Genomic DNA, 27,382 nt, shown 5'->3' on the forward strand with positions numbered 1-27,382 from the left:
TGGGGGTACTGACACATTATTTTGAATTCTGTAGAGGGCTATAAACTTAATGCCAGGTAAAATTTCAAATGAATGAAAACCTTTACAGAACCCTATTAGGGTCTGGACTATTTTAGCAGAATGTGTATATATATTGCTACTCATAACCAAGTGTTCATCATCCATTTCTCACTATTCCATGCCCCATTCAGTGTGTAAGATACTGCCTCCAGGAGCCAGTGATGGAGGCTCCCTGGGCTGGTGCCATGACATGACTTCTGAGTGCTATCTTATGCCAGGATTTGTCTTACCAAGAGAGCTTTAATTTTAATTTCTGAGTGAAATATGGGATGCTGTCGCAGAGATGGGTTTCTTCTCCAGTGTCTGATGCACAGTTGTCCCTTGGTTGAACAACAAATAGCACAGTTCTTGCTATAAATCCTGTGGTTATTTCAATTAATCACTATTTGAGAGACTCCTTTACTTGCATAATCCCTGAAGAACCCATAGGGGCTGGTATTTGGTAGAGACCTTTGAGATCAGATGATTTAATCCAAATTTATTTTAATTCATTTCAAAAATGAGAAAGCCAAAGCCATGAGAGGTTAAGAGTCTGCTTCAGGATTCCCAGCTAATTTATGTCAGAGTCAGGACCACACTTCACACCTGCTGGCTTCTTTGGATCTAATTTAGGTATCAATGTGAATCTCAGTCAGCCTCAGATTGTGGTGTCCCTTGAATATAGCATCCTGGGCTGCTCCCCAAAGCCTAAGAATTCAAGATTTATGAGTGGTGGTGGGCAAACTTGTACTTCTATTATCAGAGTCATTTTGCAACAGACATTGTACCACCCTGGATCTCTGTTCAACACGTGATAGGAACTGAAGGGGCTCTTGGAGTCAGTGTCCAGATGGTGTCCCCAACCCCAGAGAGTTTCTATATCTGAAGAAAGTGGTCTGAGTCCCAAATGACCTATCTCTTTTCTCACTTTATTGAGGATACACTTTCAGTGCAGTTGCAAGACCAAGCAGAAGAACATCAAGTCATCTGGTAAAGCCGGTCCTCACATCGATCTAGAAAAATCCCCAGTAATTCCTGGGGATCACAGGAGGGCGACAGTTTCCCACCTGGGAATAATGCACTAGCTTCCTCTATAAAAGAAGAAAACATCTTAAAAGAGTTACATCCTGTCAGATGCTTTTCCTTCCTTCCCACATCTGTGTTTTACCAGATCCAGACACTCTTGCCTTTCCAATCTCGTATTCCTCTCTTCCCTGAACACTTTCATGAAATAGCCAATGATGTTTCTCAGGTCTTCTAGCCTGGCTTAGTGTGGAAGTCTCTGAATTTGTCTGTGGTCCGGGATGCCCTTTCCTCTAATCCACCCAGAATATTACTGTGAGACCAGTCTTGCAGTGGCACTAACTGATCAGGGATCTTGTGTGACGCAGTAGCTAGGGATGTGATTTGGAGTTAGACAGGCCTGCATTGGAGCCCCAGCTCTGCTACCATCTACCTGGTGCTCTGGGCCAAGTTATTTCATGTCTCTGCATCCCAGTTTTCTCATCTGTAAAATAAGGATAGTAACAATATCACCTCAACAGGTTGTCATGAGAATAACATGAGGTAATGCCTATGAAGTCCTCAGCTACAGTCTGTACTCAATCGGTATACCATCTCTCTGTTCTCATTCATGCCTCACATAATGTGTCACAGCTTGTGCTTCTCCTAAAAACAGCCTTTGAGACAAGGCTTAGAGTGCAAGTAGTTCATTTGGGCAGTAATCCCAGAAAGCATGGTGAGGGATGCTGATTGAGATGAGGAAGGGAGTAAAAGTAATAAAACAAAAAATCCTACTGTGCAACCCTGGCCTGATGAGTTAACCCTTTACTGTGCAAGCTGCCACTATGGGCAACTGGGGTGTAACTCCCCTAGAGACCCTTTGATAAACTCCATGAAACCCACCTCAGAACTGTCCCTTTGATGGTCAAGGAAGCTGGGATGTTTGTCCAGCAACTTGAACCCTGCATTTTTCTGAGGAGTTAACTCTGCTGTAGACTTGCTCCATGAGCTGGGCACACACACCCCCTGCTGGAGAACACCCTGAGGCAGAGATGGGATAGGGGAACTGTATTAGTCAGGGTTCTCCAGAGGCACAGAACTAACAGGATAGATATATATAAAGAGGAGTTTATTAAGGAGTATTAACTCACACGATCACAAGGTCCCACAATAGGCATTCTGCAAGCTGAGAAGCAAGGAAGCCAGTCTGAGTCTCAAAGCCAAAGAACATGGAGTCTGATGTTTGAGGGCAGGAAACACCTAGCAAGGGGGAAAGATGTAGGCTGGGAGGCTAAGTCAGTCTATTCTTTTCACATTCTTCTGCCTGCTTTTATTATGGCTACACTGGCAGCTGATTAGATCGTGCCCACCCAGACTGAGATTGGGTGTGACTCAAACGTTAATCTCCTTTGGCAACACCCTCACAGACACACCCAAGAACAATACTTTGCATCCTTCAATCCAATCAAGTTGATGCTCAGTATTAACCATCACAGGAACCTTCTGCAGCCAGCCTCTGGGGAAGACCTAGGAGGGCGTCCAGGGCACTGCCAGCATCTGCTCTTGGTTACCTGACACCATAGACACTATTAACACTACTGAGCTGTGTTTGAACTGAGCTGATTGAATGGAAACAGGACATCAATGCTAGGTTAGAGTGAGAGGCTTCAGTAAACAAAAACACTAACGCTTTATTTCCTTAACCTCTGGAGACATTGTCAGGCTGGCAGGATCTGACACATACGCAAGAGCTCAGTAGGAATCACTTAATGTTCACAGGCAAAGGAAGACCCTCTCTCAGCCTATACTTGGGTCTGCTTTTGTTCAGGGTCCTCCAAACCTGACCTCAATAGAGTGTATACCCACCAGAGACCCTTTTTCCTTTTTCTACCCCTGGTTAATATATTCTCATTGCACACATATTATTAGCATGCCCAAGAGCACTAAAAACAGCCAAGGCCTCAAGACAGTTCATGTTTATTGTGCTTTTCTGCATTGTCTTGGTCCCATCTGTATTAATCTTTAGAAACAGAGGACTTTCCTGTCTCCTGCTTAGTGAACAACTCCCTCTCCCAGGACCCGGCTTACTGTTATGTTACTTTGTTCCTCTGCTATCTTCTTTCATCTTGCAATTTCCAATATAATCTTTGTGTAATCTCTGCTACATATTTTTTATTTGTTTTTCCTGTGTCTGTTCTAGGCAGATGATTCTTCTCATACTTGTTTAATCTCCCTTGATCCTTTACTTTCCAACTTGTTTGCCCTCTTTAACAAGGTGAAGGTCCTGGTTTATTCTTCTTTGACATGTCTGGTTGATTAGCTACAAGATTCCCACTTGTTTCCTTCCCCGCACCCCAACACCTCTTTTCCTCTTTCCCCTCCTCTTCATATGTAGCCAGACAATTTATTACAGCAAGTGTACAGTGAGAGTATACTGTATGCCCAGGCTTGGCTGTGTGCAATCTGTGGGAAGTGTAAGATAAGGGTAAGGCCTTCTCAGAATTCAGAGTCTGGCTGGCAGACAGAGCACCCAGTCGTGAAAAAGTTAAGTAACCAAATATTGATTTAAGCTCACATGTGTGTTGTGAGTATTCTGTAAGTTCTAGAGTAGCCTGGAAGGAGAGGATGACTTGGACTGAAGGAACCAGAGAAGGCTTTGTGAGAAAAAGCTACTTACCTGTGTTAGGGTCTCCAAGACCACACTCAGGTTTGATGATTTCCTAGAAAGACTCCTAGAACTCAAAAAAAAAAAAAAAAGGTTATACTCATGGTTGTATAGTATATTACAGTGGAAGGATACATATTGAAATTGGCAAAGGAAAAAGACTCATAGCACTTTGGGAGGCCAAGGTGGGTGGATCACTTGAGGCCAGGAGCTCGAGACCAGCCTGGCCAACATGGTGAAACCCTGTTTGTACTAAAAATACAAAAATTAGCCAGGCATGATGGTACACACCTGTAATCCCAGCTACTCAGGTAGCTGAGGCATGAGAATCGCTTGAACCTGAAAGTTGGAGGTTGCAGTGAGCTGAGATCGTGCCACTGTATTCCAGCTGGGGCAACAGAGTGAGACTCTGTCTCAAAAGAAAAAAAAAATCATAGGGTGGAGTCCAGGAGACACAAAGGGAAAGATCCTAGTTCTCTCTCAGTGGAGTTCTATGGTAGAACTTGATTTTCATTCAACGCTGTGTGACAACATGTATAGAATATTATCAATCAGGGAAGCTCACCTGAGACTTGATGTGTCCAAGGTTTTTATTGGTGGTGGAGCGGTCAGTTACATATGCATGGAACACCTGTGTGACTGATCTCAGCTCTTTAGACTCTAGTTCCCCATGGGTCAAATTGACACAGCATGACCCAAAGCCCAGGCATACAAAAACAGACATTCAACATAAATTCCATTGTTAGCATAAACCATATGGCATGGTCCCAGACCTCAGCTATCCAAGGACACTCTTATTTGGCAGGTATTTCAAGGGCTCCAAGATTATTTTACAGGGGCTAGTTGAAGACTAGTCCTGAAGGCCTCTGAAATGTGCAGAGTTTGGGCAACACTGGCCTGATGAGTTAACCCTTTATTGCACATCACTGCTTCTTTCACCCTAAACCATATCATGTCCATAGAATGGTAGAATGGTATAGTGGGAAAAGCCCTCTGAGGTTACTGGGAGTTTAGTCTAAATCCCATTGTCTCTGAGAAATGGCAAATGAGGCTCAGAAAGGAAAAACTATCTTTAGCAGAAAGCCTTCCCTGATACTATCCAGATAGAATGTACTGCTCTTCTCCTAGGAATTTAATGGAACTTAAGAACGACTGCCATTTGCTGAGTGCTTTCTGTGAACTAAGTACTGGCCTGAGTGGTTTTCATGCGTTATCTCATTGTTAGCTGCTCTTGCAGATATGTACATTCAAGTTTTGTCTTCTCCGCTAGATGGTGAACTTCTTGAAAGTAACATCTGTGATTTATTCATCTTGATACCCTTATTGCCCAGCAGAGTGCCTGGCACAGAATAGGTGTGTAGGAAGTATTGATGCATGCATACATGAATAATTATTTTGCCGTGCAACAGTAGGTAAATAATGCCAGAACTCAGAACTGGAATTGAAGTTTCTTCTTGTGTAATTCTTCTCAGTAGTGCTGTGAAAATCAGACTCAACAGGATGACACTTGTCCCAGAGCTGACACCTTCTAGAGAACTAGAATTATCTGTGGATAATCCCCCATTGGCTCATCCACAGACATGTGATAAACAGTATGAAACAAAATTGTAAGTCATCAGCACTAGAAATATTATAAGATACCAGTTATTAGTAATGAAAACTGCTTGAATTTTTTTCAAAGGTACTGTGTTTGAAAAGCACACCTACCTGTGTGCCTTTGCTCACACAGCCCTCAATGCCTGGGGGACCCCTCATGGTTCTACCCAGACACGCCTTCCTATCCCCTAATTCAAGACACAGCTTGATCATTGTTCATTAGACAGAGCTTCTTAACACAGGTTTCCCATTCCTCCAATGAATCCACAGATCGAATTCAGGGTGTTTGAAGATAGAAAAATTATCTTCATTTTCATTAGCCTCTAACTGGAATTGATTATTTCCTTTAGTTCTTCACATAGTTAACAAATTCTACTAGTCTTAGCAGTATCTATGGTTTGTTAGCAATAGAAAGCACAGATATTTTCATACCACATTATAATTGTTGCTTGCACCTCAGAATATTGACTATGCCCTTTACTATTTTATAACTACAGTGGTTATTAGGCCCACCACTTGATCTTTTTTTAATAAGTTAATTAAGAAGCATGTGCATTATAAGGTCACATTTAAAAGTATTTTAATAACTATATTTCAATATAATTAGTTTCCCTGTAATCCTGTGCATGTTATATTATACATTAAAGCCATTATTCAGATAAGGTATCCATAAGTTTCACCAGACTGCCCAAAATGTTAATGACCCAAAATAGGTTACGAAGCCCCAACCCTCTTGATCATAGTCCTGTGTGATTCTGTGATGCGTGTGCACATCTCTATCAAAGAACTTTCCCAATTTCTGTAATGCTCCATTATAATGTCTGTCTCACCAACTAGATCATGGGCAGTCCAGGAAGGAGACTTAGTCCCATTTGTTTGAATGCCCCCAACATCTAGCACTGTGCTCAGGGCTTCACAGGTGATCAGTAATGCTTGCTGAACAAGCTTTTAAGTTTGTGGATGAATGAGCCAGAGAGCTTTTCAGCAAGCCTGCCTGAACTCATATTTATGAATGCAATTTTTTCCTTTTCCAAAATACTTCTCTTGGGGTGACCATATGTTTGCTCCTGGTGTTCTTCCCTTGCTCAGGGTATTTCTGCAATCCGCTCACGCTAATACCTTCTTGGCCAGGTTCTGAGAGCACTACTAAGTAATTCAATCCGTAAAATCAAAGTTAGACTATAATTGTGACCCACCTTGGTCATCCAAGGTGTTCAAGCCCAGCTCTGAATGACTTTTGACAATTTCAAATGGATAAATAAACATCAGAAAACAAACTCATTTTTTGAGCAAATGATCTATTACAAACACAAATGTTATTCAGAAAGATGTTTTTCATGCCTAAAAACAATTCCAAAAGAGGGACACCCAAAATGTTCTCAGTAGTAGCAACTTTATGAAAATAAGTTTGTACTTTCTCAAAGGGATCACTTTAAGTTGGCCAAAAACATGTATAAAATCTAATGTGTTAGTTATAAAATGACTTAATTTTCTGGCTATCTTGCAACAATCTTGGATAAGTTTCAACAACCCCTTCATTACAATAGCTACGTCCTAGGTTGTATTTAGGACTGGTGGCCGAAACTTCTCCAAATACATTGTAGTTTTTTTCCTTGCAATTTCTCCTTCTTAAAATGTAAGTGTTCAGGGTCTAATACTTGGAATAAAACAATCTATTTAGTATGTTACTGTTGTGCATCACATTTAAACCCCTCAATATAGAATCAGAGATTTACATAATCATGAACTCTCCAAAGGGTGCATGTTGCACAGCCTCATATTAAAGATTCTCTTCACTAATCAGTATTCTGTTATCACATACCAGGCTGGATTAGATGCATCTATGGAGAAGTGCAAGAATCTGGGATGATGCTCTTCCATTAATGCACCTTCTTTTACATTCCCCCAGTGTTCCAGGAATGAAAGACACAGATACATCTTTCTTGTAATTCCGCTTTTCATTTTAGCTACAGAGGAAACAAACAACACAAACACCAACAAGAAATAAAGTCCTCAAGAAGGTTAACAGTAAGAAGACCTTCCCTCATTCTTTTCTGACTCTTGGCTGATCAATTGTAAAGATCTGTCCATTGGAGATTATTAAAGATAAATAAATTGTATAAAAACTCTTCCTGTGAACTCTCTAGGATTAAAGAAAACAACATTGATTTATTTGGTTTCCAATCCAATAAGCTGTGTGTTAATCATCTTTCGCAGAAGATACATCAAAGGAGAAAAAAATATTATGAAGAAGAAAGTCTTTATAATGACTTGAGATGTCTCAGAATCTCATCTTATATATAATCTCCTGGGCTGCGTATGTATCAATTTAGATTTTCTTATTTATAAAATGAGTTGACTAGCTCTTGGGGACCACATGAATCTGGCTCGGTTAATTATCTAATATAATTATGGTAAGAAACATCTGTGCCTTTTGCCTTGCTCCACTCTAGTAGAAAGAGGCATTTACACAGTAGGCATTACACATTATTACTTCAAAAATGTGTAATGTTTAAGCATCCTTATTTAGGTTAAGTAAAAAATAAAATTCAAAGAATTTAGGTTTCCCATTTTTTTAAATGCTCAATTCCATGACTCAAACAGTTACATGTTTACTATGTGCTCTAGACAGTTCTAAACACAGAGAAAAACACTGGAAAATTATTTTGGTGTCTGCTTGTGTGTAGATTGCCATACAGTGGGGGAGACTACTGAGGGTTATAATTGAGATGTAAAAAGTTCTATCTGGGCATGGAGGAAAGAGAAATGAGTCTGCTTTATTTTGCTAATTATATCTTTCTTTCCGCCTAGATCATCGCTTTCTGTCCTAGCTTGTCGTATTTTATGGTACAGAAAGGAAACAAAGCAGCACCACCCAAATCCTTCTCAAGCCTTTACCTTCTGGTCACCGTCTTCTCCTTCCTTGACCTATCAAGCTTGCAGATGCATTGTCGGCACTTACCATTTCTTCATCCCATGTTTGGTGGACTCTCCAATGCTCAGATCCCCTTTTAAAAAAGGATTTGCATCCTCACCTCCTGGGAGAGCCATCGACAGGTAGCTGTCAGTTCAGGGTTGCCTTGGTGGCAGAGAGCTGACTCAGCCAAGTTCACCTCCCTTCTAGTCTGTCCACTGTCAATGAATGAATGAAACAGCGTGTATAGACATGGTCATTTTGGCCCATGATTAAACTACTTTGGAAGGCCACGCTAACTCCAGAGCTCCCCATGGTGTTTCCTGAGTTCATTGTTGGGCCTATTTTGTAGCTTTGTTCCTCCTTCTGTCCACTCCCACTTCTCTGCTTCTTTCCTTCTCTTCAGAGCTTGATTCTTAATAAACATCCTACATACCAAACATCATCTCCTTTTCTGTGTCTCAGGAAACCCAGCTGAGACACCCATAGCTCTTATGTATCTCTCATGAAGAACCTACATGATTAGCCTTCTAGGGAGGTCATTTGGAGCAATTTGTTATTATTATTTTTGTGTGTGTGCTTGACTATTTGTTGCTCAAGAGAAGGGTCATTTAAAAAATCTGTTGAATCCTCAGGGTGCCTGGATCATCAGTATAAATACTTCAAAAATATTAGTTGAGTAAATATATGATAGAAAGTCTCTTGCTATTTGTATGTTTGGACAAGTCTAGAAAACCAATATTGTTATTGTCTCATGGGGTTGCAAAAGAAAGAAGATTGGTCAAAATGGCTTTTTCTTATATTCTACTGTGTACAATCTGGTTATTTAGTTATTTCATCCAATGCATTATACTCTACTTTGTACTCTGTATATTCTGGTCTAACTCCAGATTGTACACAGTAGAGTATAATGCGTTGGATGAAATAACTAAAATACAGAAATACCTGGAGTCCACTAATCAAGTATTAGAGAGTTAGCTGCAAGCCGAAGAGGCAGTATTCCAGAGGAATCTAGTAATGTATAAAAGGATCAGAGAGAGCTCCTTGAGGTCATGGCAGTTAAGGTGGACTTTGTAGGAGTTAAATTTAGTATAGTGGAGAGGGAGAGGGGAGGGTACTTCTGGTGAGCATTCAGTGACAGTCAGTACATAGGGTGCTTGGGGACCAATCAGAACAGGCATTGCATTTGAAGATAATGGGACTAATTTAATGAATTAATGTTTCTCAGATGGGAAGTATGCCAATAGTGAAGAACCATGTGGATATTTGATAAAATCTTGGTAATTGTATTACCTGTTGTGTGATACATTACTCCAAAACCTGGTGACTGTTCATTATCTCATCATGAAAGTACTTTGGAAGGCCACGCTAACTCCAGAGCTTCCCATGGCATTATCTCGGTTTCCGTAGGCCAGGAAATGTTTAGATCACAGTTGAACATTTATAAATGGGTTATTCACATTTCACAGAGTAAACAGCTCAGCTATAAATGGTCTCCTGAATGATGTTTAGAACTAATTTTCCTGTAGTAAAGTGTGCCTTGATATGTGTTATTTGGCTTTTTTCTAAATTTCTTTTATATGATAATTCCATGGGCTACATAAAAATAGCAGAGTAACAGCTTTATTTTTAGACTAAGCTGTGTTGACTATTGAAATTAAAACAAGCTGGAAAACTAAGGGTATAGGCTTGCATTAGAAAATAACAGCATCCAGAAAAAAACTCAGTCTGAAAACAGAGCCAGGTAGATAAGCGTTAATTGAGTAACAAAGTCTTAGACACGAGAGGGGAAGAACAATCTTAAACTCATCATGACGTACATATTTTGCATTCATTTCTAAGGCCAGTCTTTATGAACTCAGGTCTGGCCTTTTTGTAGCCGAGAGGCATTTAAATTATTTTTCTTTTAATGGAAAAATGGAGAAAATGCAAAATTTTCTCCCATTCCATAGGTTTTCTCTTCACTCTATTGATTGGTTCCTTTGCTTTTCAAGCTTCCTAGCTTGTTTTGATCTCATTTGTCTACTTTTGCTTTTGTTGCTTGTGTTTTTGGTGTCATATTCTCCCTAAAATTATTGCCAAGACCAGTGTCAAGGGACATTTTCTCTATATTTTCTTTTAGAAGTTTTATAGTAGCAGACCTTATTTTTAAGTCTTTAATCCATTTCAAGTTGATTTTTAAGATAACGGTGGAATTTCATATTTTTTTTTGCATATGGGTATCCAATTGCCCTAACGCCATTGAGACTATCCCTTCCCCATTGTGTATTCTTGGCATCCTTGCAGAAGACTAGTTGACCATATATGCATGGATTTATTTCTGTGCTTTCTATTCTATTCTTTTGCCTATATATTTGTTTCTGTGCCAGTACCATAGTGTCTTGATTATCTGTGCTTTGTAGTATATTTATAGCCAGGAAATGTCATGCCTCTAGCTTTGTCTTGCTAACATTGCTTTGGCTATTCAGGATCCTTAGTAGGGCCATACAAATTTTAGGATTTTTTCCCTGTTTTTGTAAAAAATGCTGTTGAAATTTGGATTGGGATTTCATTGAATCTGTAGATCATTTTGAGTCATGTAGACATTTTAACAATATTGATTTTTCCAATACATGAACATGGGATGCCTTTCCATTTATTTTTTCTTTTAATTTCTTTCATTAATGTTTTACAGTTTCAGTGTAAAGTCTTTCATCTCTTTGGTTAAGTTTATTGCAAGATACTTTATTCTTTTTGGTGCTATTGTAAATGAGATTGTTTCCTTGATTTCATTTTCAGGTAGTTTATTGTCAGTGTATAAAAGTTCTACTTATTTTTGCACATTGATTTTGCATCCTGTAATTAGTTTTTACTGAATTTGTTAATTATTTATAGTTATTTTTAATTGTCAATTATTTCTAATTTCTAATTGTTAATTACTTCTCCCTTTTTTTGTGTGTGTGCATGTGAGTGTAAAGTCTTAAGACTTTTATACATATAAAGTTATGCCATCTGGAAACAGAAATACTTTATTTCTTCTTTTTCAATTTGTATTCCTTCTATTTCTTTTTCATGCTTAATTGCTCTGGCTAGGATCTACAGTACTATGTTAAAAAGAAGTGGTGAGAATGGACATCCTTGCCTTGTACTAGATCTTAGAGAAAAAAATTCAACCTCTACTTATTGAGTATGATGTCGTCTATGGGCATATAATATATGACCTTTATTATGCTAAGGCACATTACTTCTATACCTAACTTGTTGAGAGTTTTTATCATCAAATGGTGTCTAATTTTGTCAAATACTTTTTCTGCATCTATTGAGATGATCATATGCTGCTTTGTATTCCTAATTATGTTACTGTTGTGTATCACATTGATTGAATTATGCATGTTGAAATTTCCTTGCATCCCAGAGGTAAATCCAACTTGGTCATGATATATAACCCTTTGAAGGTGTTGTTGAATTCAGTTTGTTAATATTTTTTGATGATTTTTGCATCTGTGTTCATCAGGGATATTGGCCTAGAGTTTTATTCTCTTATAGTATGCTTTTCTGGCTTTGGTATCAGGGTGAAGCTGGTCTCATAAAAGGAGTTCAGAAGTGTTCCTCTTTATATTTTTTGAAAGAGTTTAAGAAGGATTGATACTGATTCTTTTTTAAGTGTTTGGTGGAATTCACTTGTGAAGCCACCTGGTTCTTGGCTTTTCTTTATTGGGAGGTTTTTTTTTTTTTCTGATTCCATCGCCTTATTGGTTATTGGCCTGTTTAACCTTTCTATTTATTCTTGATCCAGTCTTGGTAGGTTGTATGTTTCTAGGAATTTACCCATGTCTTCTAAGTTGTCTAGGGCTACTGATTCTGGCTTTTTATGAGAATTAGGGCTGCTGTCACATAGTGGGGTAAAGAAGAGTTCTCATCCTAGTATCTTATCTACTGATACAAGTTGTTGGAGAGAAAATGCCCTTTACATGAGTAGGATCTCCCAGGTCCTAGATTCATTAAGAATGGAGTATGAATGTCTCTTTATTGAGAAGCAAAAGGAGAGTATGAAAGAAGGTAGCATGATCAGGTAGAGGGGTGCTGAAGACAAAGTTAAGCCATTAGGCACTGTTGCTGGGGACTGGACTGTAAGAACATTTTAGATAAGGTAGATGTGACCATCAAGGTGTCCTTGTACCGTGAGCAGATTATATTACAAAAGTTTTTAAAATTAGTTAATTTACTCATTCATCAAACACTCTCTGGGGCCTTGGACTAAATGCTACACAAATAAAGATGGCTAATTGGCAGTTTCTGTCCTTGAGGAGCTCAGAAGTTTGAAAGAAAGACAAACCTGAAGTGGAAATCTTACATTCTGTGATTTGATTATTATGGCTTATTATAAATATGAACAAAGAGCTGTGGGAGCCCCCGATGGGGTAAGTAGCTAACACTTAACATGGTTTAAATGGGAGCTGGCATCCCAGCTTAGGCCACGAAGTAACTAATTAAACAAGTTCTCCTCATGCTAGTCAGTGGCATGCTGGTGTGAAGAATCAGACACATTTCCTATCTTCAAGGAGCCCAAGGAAATTGTGGAGTGGGAAGAAGACATGCTAATAAATAGAGATATGTGAATGTACTGGGGAAGTAGAGAAGGAGTGACTAATGCTGCCTGGGAAATAGAGACTTGAAGGGTAAATAAGATTTCTCCTTTGATTTGATTGAATCAGATTGAATTCAATCATTGACAAAACGTCCCAAACACCAAATGTTCACTAACTCTGGGTCAATTCTACTGCTTTGTGGATTTGAAGTTGTTTACTGAAATGATTATGAGGAGACTACAGAATCATAATCTGTACAGATACAAATTCAAAATAAATCTGCTTTGAATTAGCTATGTTATAGATGGGTGAGAAGGCTCATGACAATATTGGTAAGAAGAAAATCCTTACCAGGAAAAAAAAGAAGTGTTTATATTAACAGTTCAAAACAACAATATCATTATTAATGTACATTTTTTCCCAATGCACATATTGCTGTTATTCTTGTTGCTTTTTGTCTATGACCCGCCAGACCACATAATGATGCCTTTTCTATCTAATGCTTTTTATTATTTATCTATGCAACAAGAACAGAAAATTTAGTTTGAACTGTTTAGAGAAAATACTTTCTGTAAGTGCATATTATTTTGGGTAATCAAATAGTTAATATTTACTTATTCTCATTCATTCATTTACTCAAAAATACATATAGAGGATCTACTATATTTCTATAACTGTGCTAGATACCAAAAGGATTACAAAAGAATTGCATTGCTCGTATGTTGCCTCATCCATTCACTAGGCTTATATGAGTCTACTAAGAGGGCATTATATTTCTAGAAGCCAATGTCAGGGGAATGAGGACTGGCTACAGATAAATGTATAGAGAAATATGGTCTTCATTGGAGGGTCTTAAAATCTACAGAAGAAAGACAAAATTGTACATAAGAATTTAGATAAAATATAAATGACAAACTATGTTGCAGCAATTTCAATTACATGTTCGAAGACAAGAGAGATGTGTATGGGCTGAAGAAATCAGGGAAAGCTGCTTAAGAGGAAATTAGCAATGGTCCTAGCAGGAGGTTCACATGTGGTCAGCATTCTGAATTAATTTCCTATTATTACAAAAGTGGAAAATTTTGAAATGTGAAGGAAATATTGGGTGAAGCTGGAATACAGGCCTATATTTAGGTTGTGTTTATGGTTTTAGATATTGTAAATCTAGATATTCTGAAAAACACTTATAATAACTCCTATGTTCTGAATCTTTGTGTCTCCCCAAAATCCATATGTTGAAATTTATTAACTAAGGTGATGATATTACTAGATGGGACCTTTTGGAAATGATTGAGTGAGACCTATGGGCCCATATAAAAGAAACCACAGAGAGCTAGCTACTTTCTTCCAACATGTGAGGACACAGCAAAAAAGTGCTCTCTATAAGCCAGAATGAAAGCCTTCACCAGACACTGAATCTGTTGGTGCCTCAGTCTTGGACTTCCCAGCCTCCAGAACTATGAGAAATAAATTTTTGTTGTTTATAAGCTACCCAGTCTAAGGTATTTTGTTATAGCAGCCCACACCAACTAAGAAAATAATAAAACCGTTAATATAAAAATCAGAATTAAGGAGCTAGATATTCTACCAAAGGGTTCATACACATTATATCATTTAAGTCTCTCACAGGAAGTATTTTAACCCCCGTTTTATAGATGAAGTTATTAACTTGCCCGAGTTACCCACATAGTAAATGGTGGAGCTAAGATTCACATCCAGCTTTGAGTCTAAGGCCTGTAACAATAACCAAAGAGCAAGGATCCTACCTTCCAAAAGTGAGTTGTCATTCCATCAAAGCACTCCTGGTTTGCTTCTCTTAAAACCTCAGCATGGATGTGACTTGCTTTTCTTTAGTGTAAATTCACAAGGGCACAGGCATCAAAATGGGGAACATGGTAACAATGTTAACTATTAATAACATGTTTGAACAATCTTTTCTCATTTTGCTCTGACAATAATTGCATTAAGGTGGGTGGTATTAACTCCATTTACCTGATAAGGTAATCCTAACTGTGACATTTCCTTAAAAATCACAAACCTGAGACTAGATCCTAGGTCTTCAGCTCTCACATCTTTTAAACTTATGCTATCCCTAGCCTTCTTATATTTATTTAAAAATGTACCAATGGTACATTGCATAAGAGTGAAAGATGCAAAAATTTCCAGATGCTTCAAATCAACTCTTCTAAATCTCCTGATGTGACAAGGAAGATGATTCTATTAAGACATACTTACAATAGGGTGGAAGTACTGCGTTAGAGATAAGCACCTGGCATGATGGAGGAAAGGGAACAGGTATTTGTTAAACAAATGTAATATATGATCCTTTTATTTCCCCAAATTCTGTATTGTAGGTAAATATTTTCATCTCTTGTATATAAGTAATGTGGAGGCAAGGATGCTGAGGATGTTGTTAAATGGCAAAAAGCTGGTTAGTATAGGAGCTGGGCTTCAAACTCAGGTCTTCCTGGCATCAAGGTTCATGTTCTTTCTACAAAACCAACACACTAACCTGACTCTGTGATGACTGTGTTTATTAAACTGAAATAATAACATTTATTTTACTATGTACTTTACATGTATTAGCTAGTTAAATACTCATGACAATCTTAGGAGTTAGGTACCTGATCTACTGATAAGAAATCCAAGCTACAGAGTGCTAACTAACTAGACAAAAGCGTCATGGACAGTAACTGCCAGGCTGACATTCATATTCATGCAATTTGGATGCAATGCCCATGCTCTTTTTTTTTTTTTTTTTTTTTTTTTTTTTTTTTTTTTTTGAGACAGAGTCTCACTCTGTCACCCAGGCTGGAGTGCAGTGGCGTGATCTCGGCTCACTGCAACCTCTGCCTCCTGGGTTCAAGCGATTCTTCTGCCTCAGCCTCCCAAGTAGCTGGGACTACAGGCGTGCACCACCACACCCGGCTATTTTTTTTGTATTTTTAGTAGAGATGGGGTGTCACCATATTGAGCAGGCTGGTCTCAAACTCCCGACCTTGTGATCCAACCACCTCGGCCTCCCAAATTGCTGGGATTACAGGCGTGACCCACCACAGCTGGCCTGCCCATGCTCTTAACCACTACATCATCATATATGGTTTAACCTGTAAGAATAAGCTTACTGTGGCATAAAATTTTCAAAAATAGCCTGGAGAAATGCTAGGGACAGATACGGATAAAGGGTAGAGGCATAGAGATCAATCAATTTGTCTGCAACCTTTATGAAATATTGTAAATCTCATGATTGAATGATTGGGAGGGCTCAGATTACAAAAAGCCCTGCATCCCATGAAATGTGACCTTTCTGAGGAGTTTTAGATAGGGGAAGAACATGCATTCCTTTTGCATTTTTGAAAGTTATTTCTGCCATAGAAAGAGGTAAAATTGGATCTTTGCAATAGTTCAAGGTAGAATTTATTGGGATATTGTTCTTACAGCAGCTTAGCTTCCCTCTCCTCACGTCCCCTCTCTCTTTTTCAAGCCTTCACCTTATGGAGCACACAGTAATCAGAAGTCATTGTCATCCCATCTATTGGCCGAGGAAAGTGAAAATTGTTTTAGTCTAAAATCTTCATCACTGTTTTGACACTGTGTTATCACTGTAATACAGAGAGCTGACATCTCTGTTGAGTTATCTGCTTTGACATCTCACTCACTCATTTTTGAGGCATTTTAATTATCTTAAGGATTTTATTAGAATGCATGATCAGAATCATAAACTCTTCAATATCCAGAATGTCCATGTTATTCATGTTATTCTTGACACTGTGAGTGACCTGAGGAGCTTATTTCTATGCTAAACATCACCTCTGCCCATATTGTTCAATATTGGCTTTCTTAATTCTTCTTGTGGCCATTCTTCTTCTTGATTAATTTGAGAAATTTGTTAATTGTTGAAAATCAGCCCTCTTGCCTGCTGGCATCTCCTTCCTGATCATTAACCAACATATTGAAGAGCCATGTTTCCTTTTTGAGGTTAGTGAGAGCACATTTATTTCTGTCTCTTAGCCTTGCTCAAATCCGTGACAAGACTTCAGGACTTTTTTGTTTGTTTGTTTTTTGCAAGAGTTTCCAAGTTCAGAGTTGGTGAAGGACTTGATCAGAAATCTTCTAGATTAGGAAACTACAAACCATCTCAGAAAGGTGGGGTTTTAGACATAGCATCTGAGGCATGGGGCACTATGAATTCAGAGTGAAGTTTTTCAAGAGCATCAATAAGGAATAAGACTCAGAGATGACAATAAATAATAATATGAAACAATAAAATCAGTAATTGACACATACTGAGTAACTAATGTGAGCAGAGGCATTTTGATGGGCATTTTTATTATATTAGCTTATTTAACTCCTTATGAAGAGAACATCCTTAACTCCAAATTTTTAAAATTGGAAAACTGAGGCTCAGAGAGTATGATGTGTCTAAGCTCAATAGCTTAAAAGAGCAAGAACTTGAACACCGATCTTTAGTAGCAAAGTTTTTCTAACATTGTAAGCATGAAAGAAATGCTGGCTGAAGAATGCACAGAGAGAAGAAATGTTCTTGAATAAATAGATTAATATTTGAATGACTGATAAGGTCTTAGGCATCTTCACTTAGGAGACGTTCTATGTCTTACAAATGGAAAGAGGGAGGGACACTATTTTTAGGCTTTGCTCTTGGTACTTTATGTGACTCTGAAAAATGTCCCTGAGGAAACTTAAGACATACTTACTATTTTCATGTACTGACAATGTTTAGAATACCTAGGATGTGCTAGTCTTAGCGTCTTTTTACTCTGGTCATTGTCTTTGGGAATCTCAAATAGGATAGGCCATCTGGGAGTTGCCAATATTTACTTCAGTGCAGTAAAGTACATTTTTCTCTAATTCCAGAGATCATCTGGTTCCATCTTGTCTTGAGAATGGACATCAAAGTACTATTTTTGTTGTGATTGTTCAAGGTAAGGTTTTCCATTTGCATTTTTATTATGTTCTCAAGTCTCACTTTATTAGAGTAGGCACGGTCATGTCTCAGGGCTTATGTACCACTATTTGAGACATGTGGGAGGAAGAGTGAATGGAAACAATGAACTTATGTTTGGTACCTGTTATGTTCTAGGCACAGTGCTATCTTCTTCACATATATTATTTCATTTAGTCATCCCATAAAAATCCTATGAAGTGGATATAATTCTGATTTTTTTAAGTGAAAAAGACTGATATTTAGACACTATTTGTCAGTGGTCACTCCATTCTTAAGACATGAGAAAAAGATTTGATTCCAGTTCTAGCTGACAAGTCTATTATATCGCACTTAGCTTCTAGAAGGGTTTTACTGGGTCAAGTAATTTTCTTTCTTTCCTTCTTTCTGTCTCTCTTTCTTTCTCCTACTATCTCTTTGTCTCTCCCCATTTCTTGCTGGTCTCCCTCCCTTTTCCCTTCCCTCCTTCCCTCCTTCCCTCCCTCCCTCCCTCCCTCCCTCCCTCCCTCCCTTCCTTCCTTCCCTCCTTCGTTTTTCTCTCTGCTTTTTCTTATTTTGTTGAGTGAGATGATGAAGGACTGAGTACTTTTGACAGAAGTTTTTTGGATCCTTTCACTTCATTATATTTTCAGGCACCCTTTTCAAATAAATGTATATTAAAATAGCAACTTGCGCAAGTGTCAGCTGATGACATCTCTCTGTTCAAATGACTTTCCCAAGGAAAATTAAATTTGATGAATGTTTTTCCCCATTGTTTTGGCTTGAGATTTATGGTTTTACCTAGTCTTCAAAGGGGCCTTGTCTCAGGCACAGGGCTGGGGAGTTCAACTTTGGAGACATATTGCTTATCATTAAGACAGTAACTGCTACAGCTGTAGGGAACTCTTAGAAACAATTTTATTTTTTTTTGTAAAGGAGTCAGACTCAGACAAAGTATTTTTTTATTTTCAAAATGGAGTCATTAGTAAAGCCTACCTAGTACTTGATTAGAAGTATTAAATAAATTAATATTTGTACAGAATTTAGAATTGTGCCCAGCACATGAAAACACCATAGAGTGTTTAAAAAATAAATTTAATAGCTTGTTAAGTTCACAGAATTGGAAAGGCAGTATGGGTTTCTGAATAAACATACCTGGGTTCCAATTCTGTTTCAATTGCATGATTTTGGGCAGGTCATTTAAACTTTTAGATGTACAGTTTGCTCAATCTTGAAAACTTGAAGATTTTGACTTCATAGTATTACTGTGAGGTTGAATCAGACAACGCAGACAATGTGGGTGGCCCTTGACAGTCCCAGCATATGGGAGGCATCATCAGAGCCAATGTCAGACTCAGGAAACCTGTGCTCTGGCCAAGTCAACACTCCCTATAAATCTTGAAACATTTAAATGATTGCAAGAACAAAGATTTTATATCTGTAATGTAACTTTCTTAGCAGAGTTTGGGGGTGGAATGTTGAATATATATTAAGCTAACTCAAGAAAACCTATATAACTTGAAAAAGAAATACATTCCAGATACTTTTCTTCCTGTTAGCATCATCATCAGTTAGCACATTGTCATTGTGTCTGAGCTTCATTAGTATTCTCCAAATATCATAAGGGCGGGTAAGCTGAGTTCTATGCTTGCATTTGGAAGAAGATATTCTAAGCATAGTATTTCATTATCTTATCCTATTTTCATTTTTTTTTTTTTTTTGCTTTATCCTGCTATGCCAGGAGTTTTCAAACAATCTCAACTCTGATTCTAACTCTGCCATAACTAGCTGAATGACCTTGGGCTATACACCTCCAATTTGCTTTGGCTTTCAATGGCCTCTACTCCCCTGGATTACATCTTTAAACAAATAATTTCTGTTATTTACCGGTTAACTTTTTATTTTAGAATCGTTTTGGATTTATAGGAAGATTGTGAAGATAGTACAAGAAGTGCACACATACTCCTTACTCAGTTTTCCCAATTATTAACATCTTACATTAATATGGTACATTTGTTACTGTTAACAAACGAGTACTGATACATTTTCATTCACTGAAGTCCACGTGTTCACATTTTCTTAGTTTTTTATCCTATATCCTTCTTCTGTTCCAGGATCCCATTTATAGAATTCCATATTACACTTAGCTTTCCTATCTTGTTAGGCAGCACTTGGCCCTGACAGTTTGTCAGACTTTGCTTGTTTTTAATAAACTTGCTAGTTTTGAGGAGTGCTGATCAGGTATTTCGTAGCATGCCTCACAACAGATTTGTCGGATGTTTTTCTCATGATTAGACTGGAGTTATGGGCCTTTGTGCAGAAGACCACAGAGGGAAAGTGCCATTCTCATCACATTAGTATGTCTAGCGCACACCACAGTATGTGCTATAAACGTGACTTACCACTCTTGAGGTGAACCTTGATTATCCGGCTGAGGTATGGCTTGTCAAGTTTCTCCACTGTAAAATGACTCTATTTTCCTGCTTTCTATACTGTGCCTTTTGGAAGGAATTCACTATGTTGCAGCCCACACTTAAGTTGTGAAGAAGTGCGTGCCACTGTCTTGAAGGTAGATTTTCTATATTAATTATTTGGAATTCTTTTGCATTGTAGATTTTCCCTCCTTCCCTCCCTCCCTCCCTACCTTCCTTCCATCCTTCTTTCTTCCCTCCCTCCTTCCCTCTCTCCCTCCCTTCCCTCCCTTCTTCCTTTCTTTGCTGCTCATATATATGTATTTTATAATTGAGTTATAATTTTACTAGAGTTTTTGCTGTGCTGCTTAAATTATTCTAAGGTTGGCTATTGGAAGTTTATTCATTTGGCTTCTGTGTTGCTTTGACATTGTTGCTACCGTGGTGTTGCCCCGGGTATTATTTTTTCCTAGGCAATGACTCAGCTGATACAGCTGAGGAATATTTATGTTTACTAATCAATGTATATGCACTTATCTTTAAATATTTTCATATGTAAAGATTGGTATCTATATAAACATGAGTGCATATGGATGTCTCCACCTCTAATCCATGATCATGTGGATTAGTCTAGACTTTTCTCCTTGTTTATCTGTAACCTTTCATTCCAACAGTGAGAAACATGGTTCCTACAGTTCACCATCCATTTCCTCAATTGTTCCATTCCAATATACATTATAATGGTGTCAGAATTTTTAACCCATAAGCCTATGGGAAAAATTTTTATCAGTCATGATATAGTGCTTACATATAGTTTCTTTTGGCTGTAGTCTTAGATTTATACCTAAGTATCTTTTTGTGTATGATATTGTAAATAATATTTTAAAAATTTTGAAAATGTTTTATTTTTATAGTTTTAGAGGGTACAAGTGCAGTTTTGTTACATGGCTATATTGCGTAGTGGTGAAGTCCGGGCTTATTGTGTGCCCATTACCCAAATAGTGTATATTGCATCCAGTAGGTAATTTTTCATCCCTCACCACCCTCCCACCTTTGAAGTCCCCAGTGTCTGTTATTTCCTTCTGGATGTCCATGTGTACTCATTGTTTAGCTCCTACTTGTAAGTGAGAACATGCGGTATTTGACTTTCTGTTTCTGAGTTACTTCACTTAGGATAATGGCATCTAGTTCCATCCATGTTGCCTCCAGGTTGCCATAAAGGACACAATTTCATTCTTTTTCATGGCTAAGTAGTATTTCATGGTAAATATATATATATATATTTGCATATATATTTATAATATATATTTGTATATATATTTGTAATATATATTTGTATATATATTTGTAATATATATTTGTATATATATTTATTATATATATGTATACATACATTTAGTATATGTATGTGTATATATATTTATTATATATATATATTTTTAAAAAGCCTAAGTGGATGAAGACAGTAGAACAAAGAAGAAATTAAGGTAAAGAAGATAAGATGAAGCCAGAGGAGAGGTTATTGCATAGTATAGTGATAAAATCCTTGATTTTTTTTCACCTTTTAGGGTTTCTGGTACCTTAGATAACATTTGGCAGTTTTCAAAGTATAAAATTATATATACACACATATATGTGTATATATATATACACACATATATGTTTATATATATATATATATATATATATATATATATATATATATATATATATATATATATATATAAAATCTATTGATGGACACTTAGGTTGATTCCATGACATTGCTATTGTGAATAGTGCTGTGATAAACATACTAGCATAGGTGTCTTTTTTATATAATTATTTGTTCTTCTCTGGGTAGATAACCAAGTAGTGAGATTGCTGAATCAAGTGATAGTTCTGTTTTTAGCTCTTTGAGAAATCTCCACACTGTTTTCCACAGAGGTTGTACTAATTTATATTCCCACCAATGGTGTATGAGGGTCCCTCTTTCTCCACATCCTTGCCAGCATCTGTTATTGTATGTCTTTTTGATATAAGCCATTTTAACTGAGGTGAGATAATATTATATTGTGGTTTTAATTTTTATTTCTCTGATGACTAATGGTGTTGAACATATTTTCATATGTTTGTTAGACACTTGTATGTATGCTTTGAAAAATGTCTGTTCAGGTCCTTTGCTCCCTTTTTGATAGAGTCATTTGTTTTTTCTTGTTGAGTTGTTTTAGTTTCTTGTGGATTCTAGATATTAGTCCATTGTTGAATACATAGTTGGCAAGCATTTCTCCCATTCTGTGTTTTTTTTTTCAGTTTACTCTGTTGATCGCTTATTTCTTTTGCTGTGCAGAAGCTTTTTAGTTTAATTAAATCCCATTTCTCTATTTCTGTTTTATTGAATTTGCTTTAAAGGTCTTAGTCATAAATTCTTTGTCTAGATCAATGTCCAGAAAAGTTTTTTCTAGGTTTTCTTCTATGATTATTATAGTTTCAGGTCTCAGATTGACATATGTAATTCATCTTGAGTTAATTTTTATGTATGGTAAGCTATATGGGTCTAGTTTCATTCTTCTGTGTATGGCTATCTAATTTTCCCAACACCGTTTATTGAATATGCTGTCCTTTCTCTCCTGTATATCTTTGTCAGCTTTGTCAAAGATTAGTTAGTTGTACTTATGTGGCTATATGTCTGGGTTCTCTATTCTGTTCCATTGGTCTATAGGTCTATTTTTATACCAGTAACAAGCTGTTTTGGCTTCTAGATCCTTGTAGTATAATTTGAAGTTGGGTTAAACTGTTCCTCCCTCTTTGTTCTTTTTGCTTAAGATTGTTTTGGCTATTTGGGCTCTTTCTTGGTCTCATGTAGATTGTGGAATTATTTTTTCTAATTCTGTGAAAAATGATGTTGGCAATTTGATGGGAATTACATTGAGTCTGTAGAGTGCTTTGGCCACTGTGGTCATTTTAATAATATTGATTCTTTCAATCCATGAGCATGGAATATTTTCCACTTGTTTGTGTTATCTATTATTTCCTTTTTAAGTGTAATTTTTATTGCTGGCATATAAGAAAGCAATTGGCTTTTGTATATTAACCCAATATTCTGTGATCTTGCTATAATAAGTTATTAGTTCCAGGAGGTTCTTTGGTTTTTGGTTTAGGTCAGCTCTATATAGACAACCATGTCATCTGTGAATAAAGAGAGTTTGATGTTTTCCTTTCTAATCTGAATATCATTTACTTCCTTTTCTCATTTTATTGTACAATATTTAGTACAATATCGGATAGAAGTGATGAGAACATTATCTTTGCCTTGTCTTGATCTTACGGGGGAAGAATCCAGTTTCTCAACATTAAGGATGATATGAATTACCTATTTTTTTGTAGATGCTCTTTATCAACTTAGGAAGTTGTCTTCTATTCCTAGTTTGCTGAAAATTTTTTGTCATAAATGTGTGTCATATTTTGTTACAGGCTATTTCATCATTTATTGATATGATCACATAATTTTTTTTCTTCTTTAACATGTTGATGTGATAGATTACACTGATTTTTGAATGTTGAATCAGAATTGCCTACCTGGAATAAATCTCACTTGGCCATGATGTGTAATTTTTATATACCTTTTTTATTCTACTAGCCAAATATGTTTTTCAGTTTTTTATTTTATTGCTCACCAATATGAACTCTGATCTGGTCAAGCAACCCTGTTTTCTATTACATATTCCATTTTGTTTAAATCCTACCCCTTTCTATAGATCTGCTTTCCCTTGTCTGATCTCTTCCATCCAGCGCTTCCTTATCTATTCTTCAATCTTCCTCTCTTTGGATTCCTTTAAAGGTTTGTATCTTTATACAGCACTTGAATTTGAATGCTTTGTAGATTTTCTGTAAATAACACTCTATGTTTTTATGTTTGTAAAATATCTTAATTTATTACAGGTAAGATTTAAGACATGTTTCTTGAATACATTAAATTCAATGTGATAACACGAAATTAAAGATAAGCCTAAGTGGATTAAGATAGTAGAACAAAGAAGAAATTAAGGTAAAGAAGATAAGATGAAGCCAGAGGAGAGGTTATTGCATAGTGTAGTGATAAAATTCTTGATTTTTTTTACCTTTTAGAGTTTCTGGTACCTTAGATAACATTTGGCAGTTTTCAAAGTACCCTGACACACTTAATTTGGTGCTTAAAAAGAATAACTATGATGTCAGTGTTTTATGATAATAATATTATTATTGTAAAAATTATTTAAATATTTAATAATAATTATTTTGGCCAGAGTAGAAAGCCTGGATTTAAGTACTGAAGGTAGTGAATAATAAAACAAAGAAAGAAATCCCAATGAGTAAGAGTCTAAGGTCCTTTTAACATATACTCCACTTCACAATAGGATTATAAATTTGTTGTGGGGAATGGACCATGTTTTTTCCCCATATTCTTGCTGACTTGGTATTGAACACCTATATGGCCAAGCATATGCACATTGATTTGAATTCCATCTCGTTTTGAATTTAAGTTTGTAAACAGTGTGACAAGCTGGGTTAATGAGAATTTAATGTAGTAGAATATGAGCACTCAAACTTGTGTTTTGTTTCTCATGCTTTGAAGAAGTAGCTGTTCATCCTTGGGGATGAAAAATTAATGTATGCATTGTTTTAGGCTGATCTTACTCTCTCAAAAGACAAAAAAGTCATCTGATAATTTTTGGACCTAAAATACTTTATGCGTTCTGGTTAACCATTAAACCTCCTTATTAAAGAAAAAAGTGTGGTGAAAGATAATTAGACAGGGGTCCTGAAATTGAAAGTAAGGGCTGCTTTGCTTGGTGGATTAGGAGGAGATTAGGGGACATACCCTGAGATTGGGAGGAATGATTGGACTTTCAGTTTCTTTGAGTTAGTGAGAACTACCCTTAAGAGTACATAGAGAAAGTCTGGGTTGTAAAAGTACAGGAGCTCAAGTCTATAGCCTGGGAAGCCATAGACTGTCTATGTGAAGGGTCAGGGACTCCGTGGCTTGTGCAAGTGAAGAGAACCAGAGTTGTTTGGTAGACTGAGTAATGGTGATGGTGGTAAATGACCTGAAGAAAACAATCTTTCCTAACTTTTGTGTAATCCTGAGAACTCCTAGCATGTTCCAAGGTCACAAAAAGTGGCCAATTAGCATAGATAATTGAGAGATTGAATAGGACAAAATCGATTTGCAAATATAAAGAAATAGGATCTTTCTTGCACTTTGAGTGTCAAGGAGCAATCTATATCTATTACATCAGGGAAGTGCCAAGTACCACTGCTATAAGAAACTTGTCTTTTTCTTCTGAGTAGGCAACATGGTATAATTTTTCATACCTAGCTGTCCCTTATAGTAACCCAGAAAACTTGTTAAAATACAGAATTATAGGCTGTATTCCAGTTGCACTGAATCATAGCATTGGTGTTAGAATGGAACATGGATATCTGGATTTTTTCTTCCTTGTCAGGCCTGCACTGATCTGTTAACTGCTCATAGAGAACTTCTGGTCAGGTGATAAAATATGGGCTTTAGGTTCAGCCAAGCCAGGATTTAAATGGAAACTCATCCACTAATTATGGACAAGTTACCTAAATTCTATGAGCTACAAATCCTTTATTTGTATGGGGATAAAAATACCTACCTTTCAGGTATATAGGGAGATTAAATGGGATACTATATTTACAGTTTTCATTTCAGTGTTTGGCACACAGTACATACTCCATAAATACTAGTATTCTCTATTCCTTTTTTTTTCTTTTTTTTTTTTTGAGACTGGATCTCACTCTGCCACCCAGGCTGGAGTGTAGTGGCACAGTCTCAGCTCACTGCAACCCACATTTCCCGGGTTCAAGTGATTCTCCTGCCTCAGCCTCCTGAGTAGCTGGGACTACAGGCACCCGCCACCATACAGGGCTAATTTTTGTATTTTTGGTAGAGATGGGGTTTCACCATGTTGGCCAGGCTGGTTTTGAACTCCTGACCTCAGGGGATCCACCCACCTCAGCCTTCCAAAGTGCTGAGATTACAGCCTTGAGCCACTGCGCCCAGCTATTCCTTAATTTTTCTACTTGATTTCAGGATGTCATTGGAATTTCTGAGTTATTCCACTTCTCTGGTGTGTAATATAAAAGCTCTTTTTCATGTGATGATCTGTAATTTTCATCTGTAATTGTTCTAGATTCTGACTGGCAGATCAGAACACTGAGAATGATACTTTTGAAATGACTATGTGTCCTAATCTTTGCTTTACTATCTTGGAGATAGTACAACTGAAGATGATTAAAAGATTGCTTTTTCTGAGCCTCAACCTTTTCTGCCAGCCTAATACAGAATCACCTCCTTTGAGTTTTCCAAGAATGATACTGTAAAAAGATTAAGCCATTAATCAGGTTTATTCAGGAAGGAAATGTCTATTTTGATTGTGCTAATACCTAGTCCAATGATTGCAGATGGGTTGCTTCAGTGTCCAAGGATATGTGGAGTGGTGGTTTTCTAAAATGGAAAGAATTTAGAGTTAGAAGACTTTAGCTTAAGAATTCTTCCTTCCTTCTTCCCTCCTGTCTCCTCTGTTTCCTTCCTTCCTTCCTTCCTTCCCTCCTTCCTTCCTTTTTTCTTTTCTTCCTTTCTCCCTTCCTAGCTCCATATTTCCCTCTCTATTTCCCTTTATTTATATATTTTTTTTACTATATGAATTTGGTAATTCAAATTATTGCCCTTAAACTCAGTTCACTTTCCTATAGAATGAAATGGCAGCTCTTGTCTGGACTGTCTTTCAAGGAATTTTATGAGGATCAAAAGAGATGGATAATGTCTCATTTTATAAATTAAATTCCTATATAAGTATAAATATAGTGTTTATTTTCCATTTTTATGTCTTAGATGACTCTGGGGTGAGAATGCATAAGAAAAGAAAACAAACATTTATTGGTTTGCCTGTTTACTGACTGCCCATTTATGCAATCATTTATCATTGCAAATATTAATTGAGAAGCCACAGAAGACCATAGACCCTATGAAATTCTTGCACTTACATTATTTTATGTAATATTTACATTGGCCCTGAAAGATAGTTATTATTTTCTCTATTTAGAAATTTAAAATTCAGAAAAGATGCATGATTAGACCAAGGTCACATGGCTAGTGGCAAGGTTGAGATGCTACTTTGGGTCAGTCTGACCATAAATAAGACCAGACAGTACATGAACAGGAAGAGAAGTGACTTTAAAAAAGATGATAAAACCTTGAGA

At 37.0% G+C, this 27,382-nt stretch overlaps 1 long non-coding RNA gene across 1 annotated transcript; it reads right to left on the reverse strand.

The window, feature by feature from the left end:
* Positions 1 to 7,115: 7,115 nt before the first annotated feature.
* On the reverse strand, positions 7,116 to 14,624 carry LOC124902017 (uncharacterized). The gene is made up of 3 exons (XR_007061096.1): positions 14,551 to 14,624; positions 8,265 to 8,434; positions 7,116 to 7,269 (listed from the first exon to the last, which is right to left on the reverse strand). It is a non-coding gene; the product is annotated as an uncharacterized LOC124902017 (long non-coding RNA).
* Positions 14,625 to 27,382: the final 12,758 nt, after the last annotated feature.

This window comes from Homo sapiens, chromosome 8 (genome assembly GCF_000001405.40).
Source record: "Homo sapiens chromosome 8, GRCh38.p14 Primary Assembly".
Lineage (NCBI taxonomy): Eukaryota > Metazoa > Chordata > Mammalia > Primates > Hominidae > Homo > Homo sapiens.